General features: G+C 48.5%; 1 protein-coding gene across 4 annotated transcripts in view, besides 2 other annotated features; it reads right to left on the bottom strand.

The window, feature by feature from the left end:
• Positions 1 to 25,765, bottom strand: part of AGAP1 (ArfGAP with GTPase domain, ankyrin repeat and PH domain 1) — a 637,751-nt gene that overhangs the window by 160,760 nt on the left and 451,226 nt on the right. For all 4 annotated transcript variants that reach the window (NM_001037131.3, NM_014914.5, NM_001436125.1 and 1 more), the window contains one exon: positions 2,411 to 2,572. In NM_001037131.3, coding sequence (NP_001032208.1) covers positions 2,411 to 2,572 — 162 coding nt within the window. The remainder of the gene's footprint in view (positions 1 to 2,410; positions 2,573 to 25,765) is intronic.
• Positions 15,708 to 16,208: an enhancer, noted in NCBI's record as "H3K4me1 hESC enhancer chr2:236863470-236863970 (GRCh37/hg19 assembly coordinates)". NCBI's record gives its function as "activates a minimal SCP1, AML or CMV promoter by ChIP-STARR-seq in primed H9 embryonic stem cells {active_cell/tissue: H9 hESC(primed)}" and the evidence as "EXISTENCE:reporter gene assay evidence [ECO:0000049][PMID:30033119]".
• Positions 20,160 to 20,659: an enhancer, noted in NCBI's record as "H3K4me1 hESC enhancer chr2:236859019-236859518 (GRCh37/hg19 assembly coordinates)". NCBI's record gives its function as "activates a minimal SCP1, AML or CMV promoter by ChIP-STARR-seq in naive H9 embryonic stem cells {active_cell/tissue: H9 hESC(naive)}" and the evidence as "EXISTENCE:reporter gene assay evidence [ECO:0000049][PMID:30033119]".

Raw genomic sequence — 25,765 nt, 5'->3', positions numbered from 1 at the left:
CCATGTTTGAGACACCTGTGATTTCCTAATATTGGAGTTTCCATGGTGCCTGAAATCTTTCTGCTGGTGTTACCACCTCAGCAGTAAGACCCTTTAAGGAAAGGGGCCCCCATTTGCTGCTTGGACAGAGCCCGTGTCTCAGCCTGGGTATCCACTATTGCCTCGCACACACATACCATCCCACTCACTCAGCAAGTGGACCTGAAACATCAGGCGTCCAACGTGGTCACGGTCACTTGTCAAACTTCCTTCAAACTCACCGGTGCTGAATGGAACACTGGGTGGTGCCAGCTGCTCCATCAAATGTGCAGAAACGCTACTGATTTATTCACTCATTTACACAGCGGTCAACACGTGGGTGGGATAATGAACGTGTATCTAAGTGGCAACGGTCAGTTCCCACCAGGTTGTGCATAAGAAAAAACCACAGACCTCGGTTGGAAACACACAACAAATGCAAGAAGACGCGTGCCTGTGAAAGTGAGAACAAGGCCTGTCCTTAAAGGGAATCTGGCGCCCGCCCCTGTGTGTGCACCTTAGGGGCGTGGAGGGTACAGGCTGCCCACCCTGGGGGAGGCTAACCTTCTTCCCAATCAGGGAGGGGTGGCTGCACGTGCTTGGCAGGGTGATTTTTGCCCAACGGTTGTCTGAAGGAGTCTTACCAACACAGAGCGCCTGCGGCTGATACTGTTTTCAGTGGGAAGGTCAGTGGCATCTGTGGCTGCTCTGACCCATAACCATTATTTTCCACCATCGCTGACTTAATGGGATTATCCTCACTCCCCACAACATGAGAAAAATCGTCTTTTTTTTTTTTTTTTTTTTTTAAAGACAGAGTCTCACTCTGTCGCCCGCCCAGGCTGGAGTGCAGTGGCATGGTCTCGGTTCACTGCAACCTCCACCTCCTGGGTTCAATCAATGCTCCTGCCTCAGCCTCTCAGGTAGCTGGGATTACAGGCATGTGCCACCACATCCAGCTAATTTTTGTATTTTTAGTAGAGACAGAGTTTCATCATGTTGGCCAGGCTGGTCTCAAACTCCTGACGTCAGGTGATCTTCCTGCCTTGGCCTCCCAAAGTGCTGGGATTACAGGCGTGAGCCACCGTGCCCGACGAAAAATCAGTTTTTATTGGCTAAATATGTTAGCAGGAAGCTTACAGGAGGCAAAACAGGAAGAAACGTGGTGAAGGAGAAAGGCTTCTAACCCTTCTGCGGAGGCTGGCGGGCTACTCAGAGCTCCGAACTTCAGCTTCCTGATGATGAAAGAAATGATGCTCCCTGCCTCCGGTGTTATGGAAACACACAGCACACCCCACACTCTGCCCCTTCCCTGCTAACACACGCACCGTGGGTTTGCGTGCTCCGCTCTGGATATGTGGACGGGATGGGCCACTCCCTCTAATGTAGCCACTGTCTGACAGCTCGCAGGTTTGAACCCTCGATCAAGTAGAGTATCTGGAAAAAGCATGGCAGCCATAGAGAAAGAGAAAGGATGGAAGCCATAAATGTTGCCCCTGGGCATGAGACCCTCACTGAAGACACGCTTTTACCATGTCGGTCTCACAGGTAACCACACTCTCTCACCATTGTCGGTCTCACAGGTAATAATTCATGTTCTAACAACAAGGTTCTCAAACTTTAATTTTTCCTTTTAAGTATTCCTTTGTTACAACTGCATTAATTTTACCTCTCATAATGTGGGGGGTGTGTGTGTATGTGTGTGTGTACGCATGCGCTTACCTATCTCTACTTGCATCTATGAATTAAAAAAAAAAAGGGAATTCATTTGAAGGAGCCACTTCAGGAAGCTGACATCCAGCCATCAGTGGCAATAAAAACTAAGGAAGCACTCAGGTGAAAGGAGACTCACAATGAGCTGTGACAACTGGAATATTAATAGAGCCCACATACCAGAAAGAGCTGATGGACATTAACAGAAGAAGTGTTTATCATAACACGTTGCTAAAAGCTGAAATCAAGGCAGGTGTCTGGTTAGTTAAGAGTAACCAATATCAGAGATGATTCCTAAACTAGAAGTGGGCACTGTCCCCAGCAGAGTCACGCAGCATGGCCCACCTTGGCTGGAGAGGACACTCGCCCAGGCTGCCAGGGTGGGGCGAGACCTCAGAACTGGATCAGGCTGGTGGCTGGGAGACCAGCACTCCTACCCGCTACCAGCGACGGCGGCCAAGAGTGATGACAGCAGATTTGGTTGCGTAATATGAGAATCAGACAGTGATGAAAAGGTCCCAAGGGCCCTCTCGTGCCACCTTGCAAACAGAAAGCACATACGGTGACCAGCATTACTGTGCATTTGTTGTGCTAAGGGTGTCTAATTTCACGCATTTGAAAAATAACAGAGAATTTTCCGCAGTGGAGACTCTCTCCCGGGGCACCGCGGAACCCTTACCTTCAGCAGTGCCGGACAGGCCGTCGGCTTTGAAGTTGCTAGTGCTTTTCTTCCTTCGGTGCTTCTTTCTGTTGGCGTGAGGGGAGGGGGGCGGGTCGAGCTTGGGGCTGGTGGTGCTGGAGATACTGGGGCTGGAGCATACGGAGTCACCCAGCCCTGTGTCTGCCATTGGACCGGAAAAGGCAAAAAAAAAAAAAAAAATGCAGAGTGAGCACTTACAAAGCAGAATGCGCAGAAACAGCACAGCCACGCTCCTCTCATACCACACAGGCCCTGCAAATAACATCCCATTACTGTATTGCTGAGTTGGAGGCCTAGAGCCTCTGGTATGAGATGGGCTCAGTCCCCCTTGCTCTACTGTGCCTCCCGCTATTAAAACACAAGCATTTCTTTTTCTATCAGCAGCATGCTATGGATGCATTCTCCTTCTCTCCTCTGCATGACTGGAGCTCTGCAAAAGGAAAGGGGTGAGTTTATGCTTTTTAGTTATCTTTCTCTTCTTAAAATTACCTTGATATATTAGAAATGAAAACGATGCATTTAAGAATACATTTGGAAATATCATCTTAAGTGGGTTTGACTCCTGTGGGTGCACAGGATAAGGGATTCCTGATCCTTTCTTCCGGCCTCAATATTACAGATGACTATAACTTCATCTTGTTTTATTATCAGTGAAAAATTCTATGCCATTTTTTTCTCTCTCTCACCAATGTCCAGTGACAGTGTTTGGAAGTCGATATAGTAGGCCTGCCAATTTTTGATTCATTGAAGCTACTTAGAACAGTTTCAAAACCAGTGCACACGTGATTATTCACTATAAGTGAAACTCTCAATGTATTATGTCCATTTGTATCTTTATCAAAGAGAAGGCCAAAGCGGTACTACATGACCAGAACGCGCATATAATTCAAGCCGGGTGGAAAAAAGCCCACTGAAAACGTGCAGGAAAAACAGGTGGTGCATGCCTACGGCGTCTTGAAAAGTTTTTATTTCACGATTCAGCATCTTTAAGTCCAAAGTCAGAGTTCTGTACAGCACACCGCACTCATTCAGCTGGTATTTTTTGAGCACTGACTGTGAGCCAGCGGCTTTTCAAGATGCTTGGCAGCCATCATTGATCGAGGAGAAACAGATAAACATTCCTGCCCCAATGGGGACTCTGTAAAGTGGAGTGGCAGTGACATGGCAGCCGGGCCAGAACCTGGAGTCCATCAGAAGCTGGTAAGAGTTATGGGAAAGACCGAATAGGAACGCGGGGCATCAAGGCTGGGAGGCTGGGGAGAGGCGGCAGTGATGGGGGGTGTCATTTAAAATAGGGTAGCTGGGGTAGGTCTCGCTGAGCACGGGACACTGAATCAAGACTTGAAAATGGCAGAGGAGTGAGAAGGTAATGAGAGCAGAGAAACAGTCAGAGCCTGGCTCCAAGGAGGGAGCCTGGTGTGTTCCAGAAACGGAGAGGGGGCCCGAGTGGCGGTGGCCGGTGTGGGTGGGAGAGGCCTGCGGAAGGTGGCACTGGAGAGGAGGGGGCTTGCGGGCCACCGTGAGGACCCTCGCCTGTGCTTTGGGGGGAATGGGGAGCCATGCAGGGTTCTGAGCAGAACAGTGACATGATTTCAAATACAAAGATAATGGAAATCAAAATGAATTGAAAATATTTTTATTTTGTGAAGTTCTAGGAAATTTTATCATATGTTGAGAAATGTACAAACACACAATTTAAGGTATCTGAGAAATACATACGGTCCCAAGAACACCCTGATGTACGTTCCTGGCCGCCCTAAGGCAGAGACCCCTCGCCCCTCTCTGCACAGTCGGAAGCGTCACCCTTCATTGCATGCACCCTTTACACATGGAAGAAGAGGGCTGTGGGGAGCTCCTCCTGCGAAGAGGGTGAAGGGCCACCCCAGGGCTCCTGCAGGGCAGCCCAGGCAGCACTGGACACCATGAGACACCTGAGACTGTGTCAACCATGTGCACTCCTTGTGGGTGGTCACTCACTCACAAAAGGCGGAAGTTCCCTTCACCACTTTAAGGAGTTGCGAGAAATGTGGCAATTCGGTGTCTCAGCAACTTTCCCTCTACCAGGCAGGAGGTGCTTCCTATGGACGCACATCCTTAGATGCAGAGGCACACGGACAGGTCACTGTCCCCTGGTGGTAGGTGAGAGGTAACATCAATGGCAGAAATCTGGCTGTCAGCTTCCTGGGGTGCCTCTGTTGTGACTCCACCATCACGGCTCCTCTACTGGCCTTCTCGCCCTCTCCTCCATCCTTAGAGGAACAGGCTCCCCTCTCTCCATCCCCAGAGGAACAGGCCCCCCTCTTCTCCATCCCCAGAGGAACAGGCCCCCCTCTCCTCCATCCCCAGAGGAACGGACTCCCCTCTCTCCATCCCTAGAGAAATGGGCTCCCCTCTCCTCCATCCTTAGAGGAACAGACTCCCCTCTCCTCCATCCCCAGAGGAACGAGCTCCCCTCTCCTCCATCCCCAGAGGAAAGGGCTCCCCTCTCCTCCATCCCCAGAGGAACGGGCTCCCCTCTCCTCCATCCCCAGAGGAACGGGCTCCCCTCTCCTCCATCCCCAGAGGAAAAGGCTCCCCTCTCCTCCATCCCCAGAGGAAAGGGCTCCCTCTCTCCATCCCCAGAGGAACGGACTCCCCTCTCTCCATCCCTAGAGGAATGGGCTCCCCTCTCTTGCTAAATGAACATTCCTAGCTTGTCCTGGTCCCATCTTTCATCCTCAGGTGTCTTGGCCAGGTCACTTCCACTCATTCCTCCCTCTCCACTGCGTCACTTCTGTCCTCAGAGGTCCCAAGATCTTTCATGCCCACTTTCCTAAACCCCATTATTCCTTAAAGGGTTATTTCCTTAACCCTTGAAGCCACAGTCTCAACAGCAAACACTCATCCAAAGTTACTACCCAACAGGGGCTATTCCAGGCTCTACCTTCAGCAATGCGTTCAGGACTCTTAAGCAATCCGCTGAGGCACGTGGTATCCCTACCACCTCCACTTTACAGATTAGAAAACCAAGGCACAGGGGAAGGTTAAGTAACTTGCTGAAGTCACAGAGCTCGGTCAGGTCTGCTCAAAACCGCTGCAGACCTCTCCAGACAAGGTTCCTATCCAGATAGAGGGTTTAAATCCACTGTGTTTCTTCCTGACTCCTTGAAGTCTGGCTTCCTTCACCATTGCTTCTTCAAAACGGCACACTGTTTCACTGTGCCTTCCTTCGCCCCCGTAAGACTTCCTTTCCCTTATCATGCTAACTGTGCTGGCCCAAGATGCCATGTTTTCCTGCCTCTCCTCCCTACGTCCACAGGGGCATTCTCCATGTGCATGACACCAACACCAGTTCCAGGCTTGGCTCTACCTGACCCTCTCTTCCCGGCAGCCGGCTCCCAAGAAACAGCACTCACTCTGACCTTTGCATTCCGGGCAGCTTTCTCTGCTATCACCTTGGGCTTCACCCTTGAAACTGCCACTTCCCTGCCACTTCTGCCCAACACTTGCTTTCCACGGTGGACATCTGGTAAACCTCCTTGGTTAACTGTACCCGAGGTGTAGCCAGCAGTCCTGAGACCCCCTGAGCCTGCACTATGACAGTTTGGTTGTGGTGGAACTGCAGAGGTGGGAGCGGGCAGGTTTAAATAAGACACTTCCCTTGCCTTGAGCAGCCTGGGACCTCGAGCTCAGCCTGTTTTCACAAAGCCGCTCCATGACTGCCTGCTCTCCATTTAAGCACCACGTACCCCTGGTCCAGTTCTTACCTTACCCCCAAGCCTAGACTGTGCGGCCAGCTCCACGAGGTCCTTCTCCTCCCAGACTTTCACCTTTTAAGCTGTCCCATGATTTTACAATACTGATATTTCTAAAGTAGTGGTTCTTATATGTATTTCTGAAATACTAGATTCCACTGAATATCAGATAAAAGCTATAGATATCTTGGAAAAAAAAGGGCGAGCCTAATTAATTTTTATTTATGATTTAACAGTGTTCAGAAGCCTCATAACGTTCAGGGGGTGGGGCATCCAGAGACCCCAAGATCATTACCTGATTCTAAAGCAACCCTTCTCTGTGTTATTCAATGCTCAAACCAGGCAGGCAATCTTTTTGCTCATTTTAAATATTTTCTGCCCAGGGTTCCCAAGTCTTTACCATCCCATCCTCTCTATTCAGTGTTAGGAGCCCACTTTGCCAGGTATGGTGCCAGGCCATGGGAAACAATGGTCACTGTGACTGTCTTTGCCCTCAGAGAGCTCAACCCTAGTCCTGCAGGGAGATAAGCAGAACAGGCAAACGCAACTCTCCTCGGCTGCCAGGGGCCGCTATTAAGTAATATTATTATATTAAAATCATATTATTTTACTCTGTCCCTTGGGTGTCCTCTCATTTCGACAGGCCATGTTCATCCCCAACTGTGCGTCCTTCCCTCTGTCACTCTGTGTTTGTAACACTCTCTCCCAAACTAACATTTCTCATCTCTACACTCCCACGGAGCCCACAGTTAGGACCTTCTGCACGAGGCTGCCAGTCGCTTATCTCAATCTAACTAGCATGCCTGTGCCCAGGGCAACCACCAGTGCTCGCCTCCCCTGTGGTGACTTGTGCAATGCTGAGCCTACAGTAGGTGCATTATATCATAAACTCTCTTCCGTTATCCAGCGGTTGTTTTTATGAGTGTACACCGCTATTTCGAAGACACTCAGAACACACACATTAGCTATGCCGTCCACACGACAGGCTTCCACAGGGGCGTGGTAGGTCTACCGCTAGGCTCTCTATTCCAGGCCACCACTCTATGTCTCTGTGTTCTAAGCCTATGTGTTGTTACTCTTCACTATCGCCTTAGTTATGCTTGACCGTTCTGAGCATATACTCCCATATATCCATCCACATCAATGAAAAAGATGGTGAACAGGGTGGAGTCAAGATAGAGCTTCCCACCTTAACATGCACCATCCGCTCCTGGAAGATTCTAAGAGTGACCACTGAGCCTAGATAAATTACACTGTCTTTGTGTTCAGCTCACATATCTTTCAACTTGCCTATGAGGAAACCAAGGAAAAATCTTGTCAAATACTCTGCTGAGGGCTATATGGTACCCAACTCACACGTATTTTTGACAACTGAAAACGATAAAGGGCCATCTATTTGATGTCTATTCATTCTCTTTAATAAACTACCTCTGTTCAAATACATCTGTTTCCTTTTCTATGTGCACACAAAGCAGCCCTTTAACAACTGAATTCAGAATCCCACCTGGTTGTGACCTGACTCACTGGCATCTAGCTCAGAATTCACGTTTCTGGAAATCAAAATGGCACGTCTGTTTCTAGGCCCCTTCCCACTTTTAGCTGTAGAAAACTTTTTGCAAAACAGTTGACAGGGACAGGGCCCTCTCATTTCTAAGCTTTCTCCATATCTTGCAATATTTATAATTCTCTTGGTGAGTCCGAGAAATCCCGGACTCACCTGGAGGAAGCAGCTAAGTGGCAGTCTTGGGAAGGAGACAGCACTTGGAAATACCACCACCCACCTTCCTCTAAGAGACCACCACAGCCAACCCATCAGCATTTCCTCCACATCCACGTTTTCCTTTTGTGTCCTTCCACACGAGCACTTCTAGCCCCATGGGACTCTGGATTCCCACAGATCCACCGGTTCTCCAGGAACCCCCACCCAGGACCTCTGGCAATGGCTGGAGACGTTTCTGGGTATCAAACTGGGTGGAGTGGAGGTGCTACAGGCATCAGATGGTAGAAGCCAGAGGTGCTGAAAAATGCCCTACAATGCACAGGACAGCCCCTGCCACAAAGAACAGTCTCAAATACCTAAAATATCAATAGCGAGAAACCCCATGGAATTTCAACCAGAGCTTCTAGTTTTCAACCTCTCGCACACACCTCCTTTGGAATTTTGGTCTGTCTGCATCTCAGCCTCCTGGGTGTCCTCTCCAGCACCCTGGCCTCTGTGCCACTCCACCCTCATGAATCTCTTCTGCCCTGGACCTCAGACACCCTCTCTCATGGTCTCACCCAGGCTTGCTACCAGCAAGAACCACAGTTTCTAGGGTCTAACTGCCACCCCCACCCCTGCCTCCCCAGCTCACTAGGCCTTCACTCCCGTGGCTCCTCTATGCCCTGAGTTCCATGCCATCTGACGTCCAACCCGCTCACATCCCACGGTTTTTCTTATACAGCCGGGCAGCATCGCACACGACTTGAAACTCACCCTTGTAAGTTTCCCTTCTCCCACCATCTCTCCTGAGTAGGAAGCCCCAACTTCACTGACTTCCAGCCCTCCACCTGCTCAGCACCGTCATGGGCCAGGGCTGGGAGAGGGTGGTGCCATGCACACCGGCCTCCTCTGTGTGGTCAGTGTACCCCTCAGTGGCCTCTGGCCTGCCCTTCAATCCTACCTCACTTCTGTAGTAACCCACTTCCCACTCTCCAAGGGGCTATTTCAAAGCTTCTCCTCCCGCTTCAAACACCCCACGCCCCACACCATCCTCACGATGACCTCACTTTTCACTTCACTGAAACAAAACAAAACAAAACAAAACAAAACAAAACAAAACCAAAAACCAAAAGCATCCATCAGAAGAGGACACCCTCCACCCCGCCCTGCCCCAGCCTGTCCCCAGCAGTCTCCATGGGCGCGGGGCCCCTCCCCTGGGAAATGGATGCTCACCCACCCTCGCTCACCCAGCACCCGGCACTAAACATGAGCTGTCATCTCACTTTTTTGTGCGTGTGTGTGACGAAGTCTTGCTCTGTCACCAGGCTGTAGTGCAGTGGCGTGATCTCGGCTCACTGCCACCTCTGCCTCCTGGGTTCAAGAGATTCTCCTGCACCACGCCCAGCTAATTTTCGTATTTTTAGTAGAGACGGGTTTCAACATGTTGGCCAGGATGGTCTCGATCTCTTGACCTCATGATCCATCCGCCTTGGCCTCCCAAAGTGCTGGGATTATAGGCATGAGCCACCACGCCCGGCCCTGTCATCTCACATTTTTAACACAACTCTCCCTTGGCCGCACACCTCCACCCTGGACATTTGACTCCTGCCCTTCTTTAAAGCACAACTCCCTAGGGCCTGTCCCTCTGCACTGCTGTCCACGGCTGGCCTCACTCCAGTCCCGCTCACATCCCACCAACCACTGGTGTGTCCTTGCTGGGGCCGGCGGCACCCTGCAGGTGCTGCATCAGTGGACAAGGCTCAAAGCAGTCACACCAGTCTCAGCAGCATCCACACAGCTCATCCCTGCCGCCTTAGACGGGGAGCCGTGTGGAGGGGTTCTGCTAGGCAGGCAGAAGGGACACCAGGAAGTTTTAGACTCCAGGAGCCAAAGGAGGAAGCCCCAAGAGAGGCCTTCCCCAAGCTGGCCACTGGCGCATCCAGCCCCTCCCGGCCCCCTGTGCTCCGTGGCTCTCTCCACATGGGGACATGACATGCTCCATGCGTGTTTCTTTGTTTACGGAACATCTTCCCTATGAGCGCTCGAGCTTCAGGAAGGCAGGCCTTCGCTCATCCTCTTCACCAGCACACATCCTTCCTGAAACAGATTCAGGATGAGTAATGGGGTTCGATACGTAATAAAGTTTTATGAAAGAACTAACCTCTGTGTGACAGACACTTGCGCGGGTGGATGGAACGGACCACTTTCTGGTGTATCACACAGCAGTGTATCAATTTCGCGACTTAGTTTTAAAACCAGCCACAAGCACGCTTTTGTGCCAAACCACTGTCCTATGAGTTTCCAACCATTTGGAATCTATTTTTAGGCGAACGACTGAGTCCATGAGTGAAGTCTATTGACACAGAGAAAGCATCTCCCTGTTGAGTGTCCCCACGCACCAAGCGTGCCCTAGGAGCTGGCCGCTGTCAGAGAATAAAGGGCAAGACCCCTGTCCCACGGGGCTGATTTCTAGAGTGAAGAGAATGCCTATCAAATTTCTTGCTTGATGCCTTCCATAAAAGACGATTTTTCTTGGGCCCTGCTACCTGAACAAAGAAGGAAGAGGGGAATCGCATCTCCAGTAAGCACGCCGATAGCAGGGGCCACAGGTGCAGGGAGAAGTGAGGTACGGAAGAGTCCGCACGCCCACCTGCACTGGACCGAGCATACCCAGGCCACCTCCAGCCACCCCAGAGAATGGGACCAACAGGGAGATGAAGGTGTCATTGCACCGGGAGAAAGCCCAGGAGAGGGCTGGGGAGACAGAGAACAGAAAAATGTGAGCCTTGTCCTGGCCACTGCGGGGAGAAGGAGGCAAGCTTTTCAGAGGACACAGGGTTGTCATGGGATAAAAACAACTGCAATCTCAAGAATGGAAACAGAAAGCCAGGCCAGCATTCATGAGCTCCTTGCAGTCGTCCTCAGGAGGCTATGACTCGAGTAACTGACGTGTGCAAAGCACCTGTGATCCTGGAAGCAGCACCAGCCCACGCTCTGATCTGCTGCTTACAGGGCCGAGGTCCTCCAGGGTGGGTCCGCAAGCACCCTCCCCGCCCCCATTTGGAGGCATGGAGTTGAGGCAGTGACTTTCCAGGCCATGCTGCAGGCAGGGCAGGGTGCGTCTCTGCCCACTGCGTTCTCCTGCCACGGCAATGCTCCAACACTCCATAGCCCAGGCCCTGGACATTTTACTCCAACTTTCTTGCTGGAAGGAGACAACCAGTGGCGCCTGACCACTCAGAGGTGGGGTGTCTACGGTGGCCCAAAAGGGAGGCACTCAAGCCCTTAGAGAAGCCACATGCTCTGGGCTGGGGCGGGTGGGAGCAGGTTTGGCAGGAGCGGACAGGCAGCCAGTGGGGAAAGTGGCACAGCTTTGACAGGAGGAAGCTCTGGTGCTAGTTCCAGATGCTTGCCTGTGGGAGGGCCCGGCTGCAGCAGCAGGGGAACCGGCTACACGAGGGAGTGGCCATCATGGTGCTGAGAAGGTGATGGCGGGGTGAATTAGGATGTGAATTGAGGGGGGCCGTGGCAGGAGACAGAAGTCGGGCAGGAAGTGTCACCTGGGACTCAAGACCAGTGAGGAGCGACCAGAGAGGACCCACCTGGAGGCCAGGCCCTGACCTCTCCTGGGCTGGGTGTTCTCATGGCAAGAAGGACCGGGTTCCCGTCCACTGGGCGCTGAGCTCGGCCACGGGAATATGAATGCCCCTGGCTTCTAGGTGTCGAGAGCTCGCTTTCAAGGAGTTGTTTAACATTCCCCTGGTTTAAAATATGAGCAATCACAACGCACTAGGCTTCCACGCTGTGCTTTTCCATTCCAACTACTCCCCTCGCCTGACAAGGTATTCCTCAAATTGAAGAGGCCCCGAAAGCCCCGCCTGAGACACTGTAAATGAGCTCCAGCCGGCCCACGGAGCGCCATCCGCTCCTCCTGGCTGCATACAAAGAATGCATTTTATTTTGTATCAATTACCGGGCACCGGGACAGACGACTACTGTCGACGGCGTTAAGTATGGGAGGGGAGAGGCTAAGAGAAAAAAGCCATGCCAAATTAAAAAAGCGAGCGCCTCATTACTCCACATCTAAACCGGCTCTGACGGAGGGACTGGGGTCCCGAGCTGCGCGGCGCTGAGCCGGGATGGGCCGGCACCATCCCGCACATTCAATGTCAGCCATTAGTTCTTCCCAATCGGGCATCAATGTTCAACGCACACCCCAAAAAATATATAATACGAGCAATAATGATCACAATCTGCAGTCTCTCCGAGCTTCGGAACGTGAAGTATGAGTCAAAGAAGCAGTTTCACTTTTCACTCGGAGAGCTGACAAGCATGACTAGAGGGGGAATAAAATAACATTCCGTCCGCATAAATATCAAGCAGCCTGCTTGAGACTGATGGGCCAGGAATGTATTCTTAGCTATCATTCCGGCAGACAGGCCCAAGGACACTCATAACTTATTTTACAATCATTTAGTTTCAGCTCAAGTGGAAAACGTGACAACTTATCTCTGCTGACAAGATGCCATATCGAACCTTACAATTAACTCTCCTCCGATTATCTGCCCAGCCGATCATTAGCTGGGCAATTTTTGATGAACCATTGCAGGGAGCTCGCCTTGGTGAGGGTCCTCGCCAGGTGTGCTGATAGGTTTTTGATATCCCGGGTGATATTCAAGAGATGAGTCTCTGTGCTTGTGATTCTCATATCCCTCGCGCTCCCGAGGGTCTCTAAATGTGTCCGCTGGGGGAGGTGCTGGGCGTAGGTGCACTTGATCTCTGCAAGCCTCCCTGCTGCAAGGACTCCCGCTGTTACTGCTGCCGTTAGCAGGGCCCTAATCCTCTCCCGGGTCAGATCTTCCCTGACCCTGGAGCCTGGATTTCAGGGAGTACAGGGCCCTCCAGAAACACCTCCAACCACTCTCCCTCAGGGGACGTAGTTTGATGAGGGGCACGCCACGAATTTGCTAGGAGCAGGCAACACTCACTCTGGGAGAGCTGCAATGGTTCCCGAAGGGTTGGCTGTTCATTTTCTACATGTTGATTAAAGATACAAAATGCTTTAAAACATGTTCATAAGAAGCATGCATCTATATGGAAAAAAAGGAAAAGAAAGACAAAAGAAAAGAGAGAGGAAAATGCTAAGCACGTATGTATCGGCCCCCTGCCCCTGCTGACTTCCACCCACACCTTAATTTACCTATTTGGCAGTGTCAGGTACATGACTAAAAATCCTTTTTTGCTTGGTATTAAAATAATTTAAAATTATCAAAGACAGGCCCATTTGTAGGTGCCAGGAGAGGAAATCAGTTGAGGGCTGAAGCCCCCTGTGAACTCAAGATGAAGTCGTTGTAGGAACTCGTAAATTAAAACGCACTTCCTTTGATACACGGCCAACGATATAAAGCTAATTTGGATCTTTAATAAGGGCTCTGTTCTTTCTGAAGCTTACAGAGATGTGTAGGCCGGTAAATAAAGAACAGGCCACCTTTGCCATCCAAGGAAATCACAACATCCTGGGTCTCTGTTAAAAGGTGAGTGTGAAGTGAGGTTCAAAACCTCACCCCTTCGCATAGTCCTTTTGACGGGAGCTTTCAGCGGGAGGAGGTTGACTTGAATTCCCCATCTCTGAAGATGTTTCAGAGACTGGCATTATTGTCCCTTTCCCTTTGCCGCTCACACAGAGGTACACAATGTCAGAGGGGCAGCGGGGACACGGCAGGGGGCCCAGGAAGATGACAGGTGTTGGCGAAAGGAAAAGACAACACAGTGTTAGACTGAGTTATAAAAACGGGGAGGAAAGGAATACAATAGGAGGAGCCAGAACCAAGAGAACACACAGGAGAGAAGAATTGCCTACTTGGGCCATTTTCAATTACGCCCAGAGATCTCTCTAAATTAAGCCTAGTCAGTAGGAATTTAGGAAATTTGATCTTCCATTGAGATGAGGACCTTGATTACTGAAATATGTTTATAAAGCCTTACAAAGAAAAAAGTACATATTCTGACCACCAATTCAAGAACAGAGTTTCCTTTTTGAGACGATGAAAATGTTCTGAGATTGACTGTGGTGATGGTTGCAGGTATCTGTGAGATACTAAAAACTACTGCATTGCACCTGTTAAATGGGAGAAGTGTGTTATGTGATTTTTATCTGAATAAAGCTGTTTAAAAAAAATGGGAGAGGTCGTTGTATTAAATGCTACAAAGCAATTAAATAAGGAAGATTTTAAAACGTCCACTATACGGTCTAGTGAGACGGGGGAGAGGGTCAGAGGGGACAGGAGGGTGGCTGGGTTCCCCCAGAAACTGAAGCTAAAGGCCATCATGAGACTTGGGCCATGAGCTGAGTCTGGATGAACAAATGGACGTGGCTGTCTGGCCTCCAGCCACCTACCAGGATCTGGCTCTACACAGCTGACCCACAGGAGGTCCCAGTCTTGAGCTGCTCATGGGGCCCTACCCTGAAGGGGTGTCCCCCAGCCTCCTCCTGACCACAGGTGGGACAGCCCTGGGCTTCTCAAGCTTCTCTGTGTTCTCGCCTCCCAGGTCATACTCCTCTGCTCTCTCCTCTTGGTTCCTGTCACTTTCTTTGCACCCCATCCGTTTCCTGGTATCTCTCCTTTCTTGTCCACTACAACAGTTTTTTTTTTTCATGCCAGAGGGCCAGCTGGTGCCGAATGGCATCATCCAGTTTGAAGGGATGACAGAAGGAACACAGAGTGGCCAAGTGAGGCAGAAAGCCTGGGGAAGCCGTGGGGAGTGTGACAGAAGGGAGCATGCTTGGGAATGCAATGCATATCAGGAATTTATAGTTAAGGCTCAAAAATCAAATTGTTCTCTAGCTGATTTTTAGCTGAATGCAAGCAGCACAAAGTTTAAATTAATACGGTGAACTCCGATAAATGGGAAGGCACGATGCGCAGCGCTGTTAGGTGGAAATGAAATCATTTTGAGAGATTCCCGCTTCTCCCCAGCCTCTTCCCTTTTTACATAATCAGCCACTACCATTTCTCAAGTTGGGTGCTCAGATCTGCTAAATTGAAAAGAGATTCTGTTTCACGTGTGAGGGTGAGCAGGCTGGGGAGAGACTGAATGCGTCTTGCAGAAAACTCAATTAAATCAGGAAGGTAATTAGATGTAGGAGCCCTCTTTGATCACATACATTTCTCATCTTTAGAAACTTAGCTGTTTCTATGAAAAGTCACATGCAGTCAAATGACCCACTGCTGCACAGGAAAGTGTCCTATCTGAGTGGGGAAGGTGGGCTCCTTAGGCCAGTACAGCGAGGGGCTTTGTCCAGGGTCCTGAATGCACCTGGCCACTTCACTCCGCTCAAGGTACAGCAATACACCAAACTCAGGCCGCTGCTTCGAAGTACATCCCTGCTCTTATCTACTGACATTATGTGGTTAGAAAAAGTGTGTTGGTGTCCTCAGCTATGGGAAAACCTGATATGCAGAAGCCCAGCCTTAAAAAAGAGGCAATTTGGTTGTGAGATATCATCCCATGGGTTGAGTGTTATATGTCATAGAAGATAAGTAATAGGATTCTTTTCTTCTTTAACATCATAAAGAGCAGAATATGCTTTGGTTTGCTTAGTCAGTTCCCAGCTGCTTAGAAGGATTCCAAATTTATGACCATAAATCAGTACTTCTGTGTGTTTTCAGTAATTAGGATTATGACTTTGGGGCAGCTTTTGAGACACAGGCTCATGAACATGAGCATTCGTGGGGCTCTGGATACATGCTGCTGAGCCGAAGTTCTGTGCTGCTCCCACCAACGGTGTGTAAGGATGTCCAAGCTGTGTGTCGCTGGAGCCGACATGCCTGTTACACTTCAGCTCCCACCCTGCCCACGTGCTGATGGAGAGGTCCCCGCTCCTCAGGATGGCCCGCACCCAGGGTACAAGAAGGAAGCAGATGGAGGTCAGGGAGAAAACTGCACAGTGCTCCATGAACTGGAACCGCACAGACTCGAAGGCAGCTCCAGCCCCAGCCTAGCCACCTGGCCACGTGACCCTGGGCATGTCATTTCTTTTAGCCTCAATTTCTTCACACAGGAAATGAACAAAATAGCACCCCTGAACCTCTACCCTCAACCGGCCTCACCCTACTCTTGCTCTCTTCTCCATCTTGGTCAACTAAGATGGCCAAGAGCCAGTTAAAGACTGACTAAGGCAACTCTACCCTCCACGCCAAACCAAGGGGAGGCAGTGCCATGTGGCCCATCTACCATGTGCTTGGTGTGGGGCTAGACAACATCCAGACACATGGAGGGACAGAGAGACCCATGCCCTGGTCAGGCTGTCTCCTAGGAGCTGCGATAATAGCAGTAAATAAACAAAGCTCCTGCCCTAAAGAGCTTAGGTTCCAGCAAACGGAGAGAGTTAATAAGCATATATATGTGTGCATATTGACCACGAGGAGGGATGACAAGGGCTGTGGACAAACCTGAAGGACTCACAAGGGGTTGGCAGGTAGAGGCGGGGTGTGGAGGCTGCTGGTGTGCTGAAGCTCCCCTTGTTCCTAAAGAACGTGCAAACATGGCTGTCGAGGGCCCCCAGCTTTTCCAGACAATTATCATTCACACAGTTAAAACGCAGGACCTCAACACAGAACCGTAACATACGAGATGCAAGTCACTTCCGCCAAAAGATGAGGCATTGTAAGGAGAAAGTTAGAGAACGATGAGAGAGGATGTTGGGAAATACAGTTAGACCTGCCACAATGAAAGCTGCACAAACCACCGTGCCTATGAGCAGCGCTTGGAGGGCTGAAGCCTGCCCTTCAGTGGCACAGGAGGCAGCCTCTCTTCCCAGCTCCCTTGGACACTGCACCCCTTTCATGGCCCTTAGTGTGCTATGATTGCTTCTGTGGATGTCTCCTTTATGTGGCTGTGTCCCTCTGATTTTTTTTTTTTTTTTTGGAGGCAGAGTTTCACTCTTATCACACACACTGGGTGCAATGGCGTGACCTCGGCTCACCGCAACTTCTGCCTCCCGGGTTCAAGCGATTCTCCTGCCTCAGCCTCCCGAGTAGCTGGGATTACAGGCATGTGCCACCACGCCTGGCTAATTTTGTATTTTTAGTAGAGAATAGAAGAAACAAGGTTTCTCCATGTTGGTCAGGCTGGTCTCAAACTCCTGACCTCAGGTGATCTGCCTGCCTCAGCCTCCCAAAATGTTGGCATTACAGGCATAAGCCACTGTGCCTGGCCTGATTTTTAAAAGTACATTTTCTTTTTCAGACAATGTCTCACCCTCACCAGGCTGGAGTGCAGTGGCATGATCAAAGCTCACTGCAGCCTTGAACTCCTGGGGCTCCAGCGATCCTCCTGCCTCAGCCTCCCAAGGAGCGTGGACCACAGGTATGACCCACCATGCCCTGATAATTTCTTTGTAGAGATGGGGTCTCACTATACCTCCCAGGCTGGTCTCAAACTCCTAGCTTGAGTGATCCTTCTGCTTTGGCCTCCCAAAGCACTGAGATTACAGGCGTGGAAAAAATTTTCTTTACAGATGCTCAGTGGCCAGCAAGCACCATGCACAAAATAGGTGCTCCGTAATCAAGTCTGTCAAGACAGGGAGTTGCCAAGTAAGACCACTGCAGCACAAAGAACAAACAAAATTTGAGTAATGTCTTTGAAATGCTGGAGGGAAAAAAATGCAGTATACTTCTAATTGCCTATTTAAGGCTTAGGAGTGTTGAATATTATTTAAATACCAGCTAACAAATCTGTATGAAATATCCTTGCAGTCTGAACATTTTGGAGAATAAAAAATTAACATCTTATAACGATAAATTACGTTTTCTTTTCCCTTGGCCATCACATGTAACCTTTTGTTATGTTAGAAGGCAACTGTGGGAACCATCGGGGTACTTTTTTGGGGGTTAAATCAAATGCTAATTTGCAAAATTCATTCCCCCTTATCTGTCCTCATAGAAATATTTTGTAAACACCTAAAATATTTGAAAAACTTCTTGTTCCAGGTGATTTCAAGACTCTCTCCTAAACTGTGGACAGGAAGTTTCATTATGAAAAGGGATCCTTGCGACTCCCAAGCCTTTATTGGAGGTGGGTGGCATGTCCCAGTCAGCGAGGATGGTGATAGCATCGTGGTGTCAGGTGCCTCGTACAGAAGGCCCAGCCACTTGAAAGAGGCTGTATGGGTCCTTCCGCCACACCTGGCTCTAACAATTGCCCCAGTCAACCGGCTGGAGGTCACAGAGCAATACTCTGGCTCTTGGAGCCGCCCAGCCCATAGGGCAGCTTTGAGGGCTTGGGTTCCACTGGTAATTTATCCACAGTGACCCTGAACAGAAGGCCCTGGGGCTGAGCTGAAGGAGGGGATGCAACTGCTCAGGACCACCAGGATGGTGAGGCTCAGCACCGAGGGACACCATCTTGATGGCACACTCGAAGTCTGTGTGTGCGGAAACTCCAGATATTTACAGATATGATCAACAACTACCCAGGGCCACTCAGGGGGAGGCACTGTTTAAGGCCCTGGGGAAATAGTAGTGGAACAAAACAGAATATTTCCAGTTTTTTTTAAAAAAAAACACAGATAAAATTTACAGTGCAAACACTTCACACTAATCCAATCCTAATTCTATACTGATACAGACTGACTTACAGACACAGGGGCACTCAACATATATTTGTCTACATTTGCATCATGAGCTGCCTGGGGCACCTATCTGGTACCTGGATAACCTTTTAACAGTATAAACATTTTTGATAAAAATACAGGAAAAAAGTCTGCATATTTAAATTTTAAGGATTTGGCTGATGAAATTTTTTTTTTTAAAACCTATGTTATAACTTCTTTGACAGACACTGAAAAGAAAATATTTTTCTCTCCTGCTGTTTTAGGATTTTGCTGGGCCACTGCAAATGACTAATGACTGTGCTGCATATTTTATGTAGATTCTGAGGCTGCGGTTCACCTCTAACTTCCTCTGCTTGAAAACTAGATATTATCAGCCCATTCATGTCTCTGACAAGAGGCAGGTGAGCTCTGCTCAGCACATTCACGTCAATAAGGAAGCTGAAACATGAGGTTATCTGTGCACTGAATACTGGAATCAATCTGGTGTGGTGTTAATGAGAAGATGAGGCTTATGACCTTTCATTTTTGACTACACTATTAAACAACTGTATTTAAAAATAATATATCAGGTCACAAATACATAGCAGGTAGGATGACAGAAGGTTCCCCAAACCAGATGGTAAATGAGTAGATCAGGGTGGACCATTTGTTTCCACCAAAAATCTGTAGCTAAGACTTCCTCTTGAAAGGAACCTGACAGTTTCCTGCATTTATGAAGCTCTAAGTTTGGCTGGTGTAAAAACTGCCTGTGTGTGATGGGACTGGGAGACTGGTGTGGTGTAACTCATCTGCAGCCCAAGGCTCCAGTCATCCAGGATAGGAGGAAATGTTTATTTTGTACCAACAGACAACAAGCGATTCCCGAGAATGAATCAGTGAGAAACAACAGCTGTAGCAAAGGGTAGTGACACGAGCCACCTTCCCCAGGGTGGGTGACATTCATTCTGCCTTTCCCGGGACAACCTCTGTTTACGCCTGTTTCTCAGTGCAACTATTAATATGTGGTCATGGCAATCTTAAACCAACCCTGCAATCATTCCAAAAATAACGAGAAGAACAAAGTTCAGAGGAAATCTCATAATTTTGACTAAGCTTTGGGCAAGTAAGAGGTTTGAAAACCTGCTACACATTTTTCAGTTCCATGCTACTCTGTCTCACGATGACTGACAGCATTGTCCATAATCGTACCTGGGGCTGGTAACTGCTGGAAAAGTTTGTAACATGAAAGATAATTTGAATGTGCTGTGGACATCGATCGAGTATTCTACTTGGGATAACTATCTCCACCAACACCTCCACTCGTGAGCATCTTCATCCGCAACTGCAGATCAAAGTCGGAAGTGTCTTCTAAAGCACAGCCTTTCAAAGCAGCTCCATCACAGTGGCCAAATGTGTCTTCTTTATTTCGTATTTTCCACAAAATAAGAAATCATTCAGAGTGCAACCTCCAGAATTAATGATATTTAAAAACTAGAATTAAATTTACTTCCAGCAGAAAACTATGAGTAATTCACCATTACTATTAGATACTATTAGAATATTCTTTTTGTAAAAAAGAACTGACTTTGTTTGCACCACCAAAGTTTTATCATATTATTTTTACTAGTGTCTTGGAATTTGGGCTGTCCAGCCAAAAAAAAAAAAAAAAAAAAAAAAAAAAAAAAGTGCTTGGAGATCCCGAGTTACATTTGCTGTGAGTTTAAAGCATTTCCTTTATCAAGCTAAAATTTCGTTAATACAGTTCAGTCACATACTGTGGTTGATCTTTAGGGAAAATTGCTTTAAAATAAACTGAAAGGTAAGATTGTGCTCCAAAATGTAATAATTGACATTTTCCTCTCTTTCTTTAAGCAAAACCCTGACCTCCTGTGGCTGCTGGAAGGGTCAGGGGTGGATGCGGCAGGAAGCAGAATCCTGGCTGGCTGGCTATTCAGCAGAGAAAGCTCTGGTCATTCTTCCCTACAGCAGCCTTCATCCCCTGGGGTGAGGTTAAAATCGTCAGTGACTATCCACCCACCTCTCATCCAGAATCAGGGTCCCTCCCTCCCTTCCCAGCGCTGCCAGCCCCCAAACCTCAGGAGTACATCCCTTTGCTCCTCCTGCAACTCCTGCAGGTTCCCACCAGCCATAATTTTCTCTTGCATATACTCCCGGCATTTGCTCCTGCCCACACACCCTGTGATATCCTATGGCACAGCCATGGCCAGGTCTGGCTGGCTGGCTCCTGCTCTTCTTTGCAATTCTGTAGCTCACCAGCCCAAGTCCTTGTGCTGGGCTAGGGAAACCCGGAGTCACCACTGGGAGAGAAGACTTTCCCTGGGCACTCTGGCCATGAGACTGGCGGGAGTTTCTTACTCCAAATTTGTCCAGGATCACTGGGGCCGTAACCCAGGCTAGACTTTTACACTCACCCCATTTTCTGCGCTCTCCAACTCCAGCATGGACCTTCACCCATCCCAAATGGCTTTTCCCAGCAAACACCTCACTCTCTGTGCCCAAGCATCTCCCAGCAACCCTCCAGGGAGCTGCTTCATTGCTATTTTTGGTGTCTTCCCAGACTTCCCAGCGCTGGCTACAGAAAAGGAAGAAACAGGTGCAGTTTCTTCCACGAAATTCCAGTTAGTTTTCTAGTTCTAGATCCATGATACTTTTGCCTAGGCGAGGGAGTCTATTTTTCCTGGCAGAACTTTCCATTCTGCATGAGCTGTGACTCTGGCCTTTGGTACTGTGGTGATCAGAGACGAGCACAGGGTCCACGTGCTCGGGGGTGCGGCGTGGCTGGGGTAGCTCAGCCCCAAGGCTGTTTATGCAGCTGGACCAACTCATGTTTTGCTTTTGTTTTACGAGGATAAGTGGAAAATGGAAAGATTTTAACTGATATTAGCAAAAAGAGCATGGCGCTCATAAGCTTACTATGCAAAAGAGGCACAAAAGAGCACAAAAATGGAATTCGCTAGGCATGCCCAAAGCGGCAAATCTACACAGCCTTGGGTGTTCGAGGGATTTAAGCAGATCTGTTCAGTTGTGAAGAAAGAGACTAAGATGATGATCCGGAGACACGGTGCAGAAGAACAGGCGGAGAGGTGGCATAATCAGGAATTTCATGGTATTTTTCAGCTCCTTGGGAAGAGCACCCCCTGGCCACCGCCCTCTTTTGAAGTGGTATGGCAGCACTTCTTACCAATTCAACTTCATAGGTGTTTCCAGAAAAAAAATTATCATGGAAATTACAGGTTGAGTATCCCTAATCCAAAAATCCGAAATGTTCTGAAATCTGAAAATTTTTGAGTGCCGACATGACGCTAAAAGGCAATGCTCAATGGAGCCCTTCGGATTTTGGATTTTGGGTTTAGGGAACTCAACGTGCATGTATGAAAGAAGGGGCCTTCCTGTATTTGACTGCACATCAGGCACTTTACAAAAACCAATCTGCTCATGCCATGCTTGCCTCACCCAGGGAGAAGGGGCTGGGGCAAGAGAGGATTCAGAGCCTTGCTCCCCATCTAGGCAGGTGAAAATATTCACTGACTATTAAAAATTATAATTCGCTTAATCTAACTAAACTGTAAGTTGTGATTCATCGTATTGTGGACACTGCGTTTGTAAATAATTCCAGATAACACTGGAATGCTGTCTGCTTTACTGGACACGGGATAGGCTCTGCAGAGCAGCACTGTGATTTGATACCTGGCTGCTCTGTATTGAATTGGGTCTTCCCGTACACCTGTCATTTTCTTGACTGTGTGGCAAGTGGGAGGATGGGGGCCAGGATCCTAGCATTCTCACTCTGCCCTGACACATGCCTCTGCCTGGCTGCTGTGCCCCCACTGTCCCCTCCAAGTCTCAAACACCCGCCTCTGCCCATCCTTCTCTATCATGGCCAGCTGAGGACCCATCTCTAGCGCTACAAAGACAGACTCACTGCACTCACTTTTTAAATTAAAGTTTCAAACTAAACATCCCTACTGCCAAAGCGGCCATGGAAATTCTCAAATGTTCACCTCTCAATTTGTGTTCTCGTTATGAAATTCGTATTTTAAAATAACTTTATTTAAAACATTTTTAGGCCAGGCGCAGTGGCTCACGTCTATAATGCCAGGAGACTTTGGGAGATGGAGGTGGGGGGAACACAGAAGCTCAGGAGTTCAAGACCAGCCAGGGCACGATGGTGAAACCCCCATTTCTACCAAACATACAAAAAATTAGCTGGGCATGGTGGCGCATGCCTGTGGTCCCAGGTTCTCCGGAGGCTGAGGTGGGAGGATCCCTTGAGCCCAGGAGGCAGAGTCTGCAGTGAGCTGAGATCGTGCCACTGCACTCCAGCCTGGATGACACAGTGAGACCCTGTCTCTAAGACAAAACAAACAAACAAACAAAAAAAACCCCAGAAAACCTGGCACACTTTTAGATGAGTATGTCCTCATTACTAAAAGCTGAAATGGAACAGGTAAAACAGGTAAACCTTCCCATGAGTCCCCTGCCCTCTTCATTCACACGGCCTTCATGCGGACACCTGCATTCAGGTGGGCACACAGGGAGCCTGGCCTAGCCGGCCTAGCCCAACGCTCAGGCTTTGATCCGTACATTGCACGCTGGATCCTCATCACCTGCACACTCTTGCACAAGTTATTCAAATTATTTAGGACTCAGTTTAATCATTTAAAAATGAGGATAATAGTACCACCTCAGAGAACTTCAGCGTAGACTTAACAAATAGTACCTATAAAGCATTTAATCCAGGGCTTAGACACTGGCAAACAGTAACGTTCAACTGCTCATTCTACCACCTGATACCTGGAAAATTCACTCAACAGAGGCTGACTGTGCCCCTACTGATGGAGACACTGTTCTAGGCTTTGAGAATAGAGGCAAACAAGACAGTCCCTCCCTTTAGGAAGCTTAAATTCTGGTCGGGGGGAGATGACAGATCAGAACATTGATCCAGCAGTCCCACTACTGGGTATCTACCCAGAGGAAAATAAGTCATTATACAAAAAGACACTTGCACATGCATGTTTATAGCAGCATAATTTGCAATTGCAAAAATACGGAACCAGCCCAAATGCCCATCAATCAACGAGTGGACGAAGAAAATGTTATATATGTATATATAATTATGGAATACTAGTCAGCCATAAAAAGGAACAAAATAATGGCATTTACAGCAACCTGGGCAGATTTGGAGACCATTATTCTAAGTGAAGTAACTCAGGAATGGAAAACCAAACATGGTATGCTCTGACTCATAAGTGGGAGCTAAGCTATGAGGATGCAAAGGCGTAAGAGTGATACAATGGACTTTGGGACTCAGGTGAAAGGGTGGGCGGTGGCGAGGGATAAAAGACTACACGTTGGGTACAGTGTACACTGCTCGGGTGATGGGTGCACCAAAACCTCAGAAATCAGCGCTAAAGAACTGATCCATGTAACCAAAAACCACTTGTTCCCCAAAAAACTACTGAAATCAAAATAAAAACCAGAAAAAAGGAATCACATTTCAACCAGTTAAGTAAAATATCTATATATAATTTTTAAAAAAGGAAAGGAAGGAGTAGATGACAAAGGCTGTCAGAAGGTGACTGGTGGCACGCAGAAGTAAGGTGGGGAAGAAGGACATGGGCACGTTTAAACTGGGGTCAGAAAGGCCTCACGGTGAAGGTGGTATTTGGTGGACACAAGGGTGGGGAGGGGTTCCCAGGCACAGCAGGTGAAAAGGCACTGGGGTGGCAGGGATATGCCTGGCTGGGCAGAGGGGCGGGACCACACAGTGCTGCCTCCCTGCTGGTTCTTAGAACAATGACGCCTGGCGATTTCAATGGCCAGCTTTCCAAGCTACTACATAGAAAGCAGCACTTGAATGGCTGCCCAGCCTCTCCTTGGAGGGGCCCCCAGTCCCCTACTTCTGGACACAGAGATTGTTTCTAGTTTCTGAACTGAGATTGTTTCTAGTTTCCACACTGAGAGTGTCGAAATTTTATCTATTTATACTTATTTTCTTTTAAATGCTGTTAAGTACATGAAAATATTCTAAGACATGGAAAATTTTAGTGGACATATTACATGTTTAAGTGGAAAAGGCCTGGCCGGGCACAGTGGCTCAAGCCTGGAATCCCCAGCTCTTTGGGAGGCCGAGGCAGGTGGATCACCTGAGGTCAGGAGTATTGCTTGAACCTGGGAGGAAGAGGCTGCAGTGAGCTGAGATCACACCACTGCACCCCAGCGTGGCTGACAGAACAAGACTCTGTCTCAAAAAAAAAAAAAAAAAAAGGAAAAAAAGCCTATTATGATCCAATCCACTTTGGGGGAATAAACACATAACCACACACACACAAACTGGAAGGGTATACACCCCCAAAATTAACAGCTTTGTGTAGGACTGAGTTTTTTAGAAACCAAAGAGCTTATCTGCATTTTAAATGTTTCTACAATGTATTTTTTTTTTTAATTAGGGGAAAAATGCATAATTTGGATCTGTGTCTCCGCCTGGATCTGTGTCTCCACCCAGGTCTCATGTTGAATTGTCATCCCCAATGCTGGCGGTGGGGCTTGGTGGGAGGTGACTGGATCATGGGGGCAGAGCTCCCTCTTGGTGTTGGTCTCATGAGATCTGGTCACTTAAAAGTGTGCGGCAAGTCCCCCCATATCGCCCCCACCACCACCGCCAGCCATGTGAAGTGCCGGCTCCCCCTCTGCCTTCTGCCATGATGGTAAGTTTCCCGAGGCACCCCCCCGGAAGCCAAGCAGACGCCAGCATCACATTTCCTGTACAGCTTGTGGAACAGTGAGACAACAAAACCTCTTTTCTTTATAAATTACCCAGTCTCAGGTGTTTATTTATAGCAGTGTGAGAACGGATTCATACAGGTACCCACTCCCGAATCTAAGAGCTTTGTGTAGGACTGAGTTTTTTAGAAACCAAAAAGCTTAACTGCATTTTAAATGTTTCTAAAATTTAATTTTTTTATTAGGGGAAAATGCAAAGATATTATTGTAAAATTAGCAAAGAGAAATGGTAGTTAACCCATATGTTAGAAGAAAAAGGCAGATTTGTAGAAACAGGCTGAAACATGTGCAACAGATACCAACATCCTGCTGTTCTCCAGCCATGCACTGTGGCCTCCATTTAATGGTGGGACTTTTCTGCTAGCGCACGCGTTAACCATGCTTCTGTAATGAAATAATTTTATTGGGAGGCCAAGGTGGGTGGATCACGAGGTCAGGAGATCGAGACCATCCTGGCTAACACGGTGAACCCCCCCCCAACTCTACTAAAAATACAAAAA

The sequence above is a fragment of the Homo sapiens genome, chromosome 2, assembly GCF_000001405.40.
Source record: "Homo sapiens chromosome 2, GRCh38.p14 Primary Assembly".
NCBI classification, from domain to species: domain Eukaryota; kingdom Metazoa; phylum Chordata; class Mammalia; order Primates; family Hominidae; genus Homo; species Homo sapiens.
The sequence above is the reverse complement of the archived record's forward strand: the minus strand, read 5'-3'. Positions and strand labels throughout refer to the sequence as shown.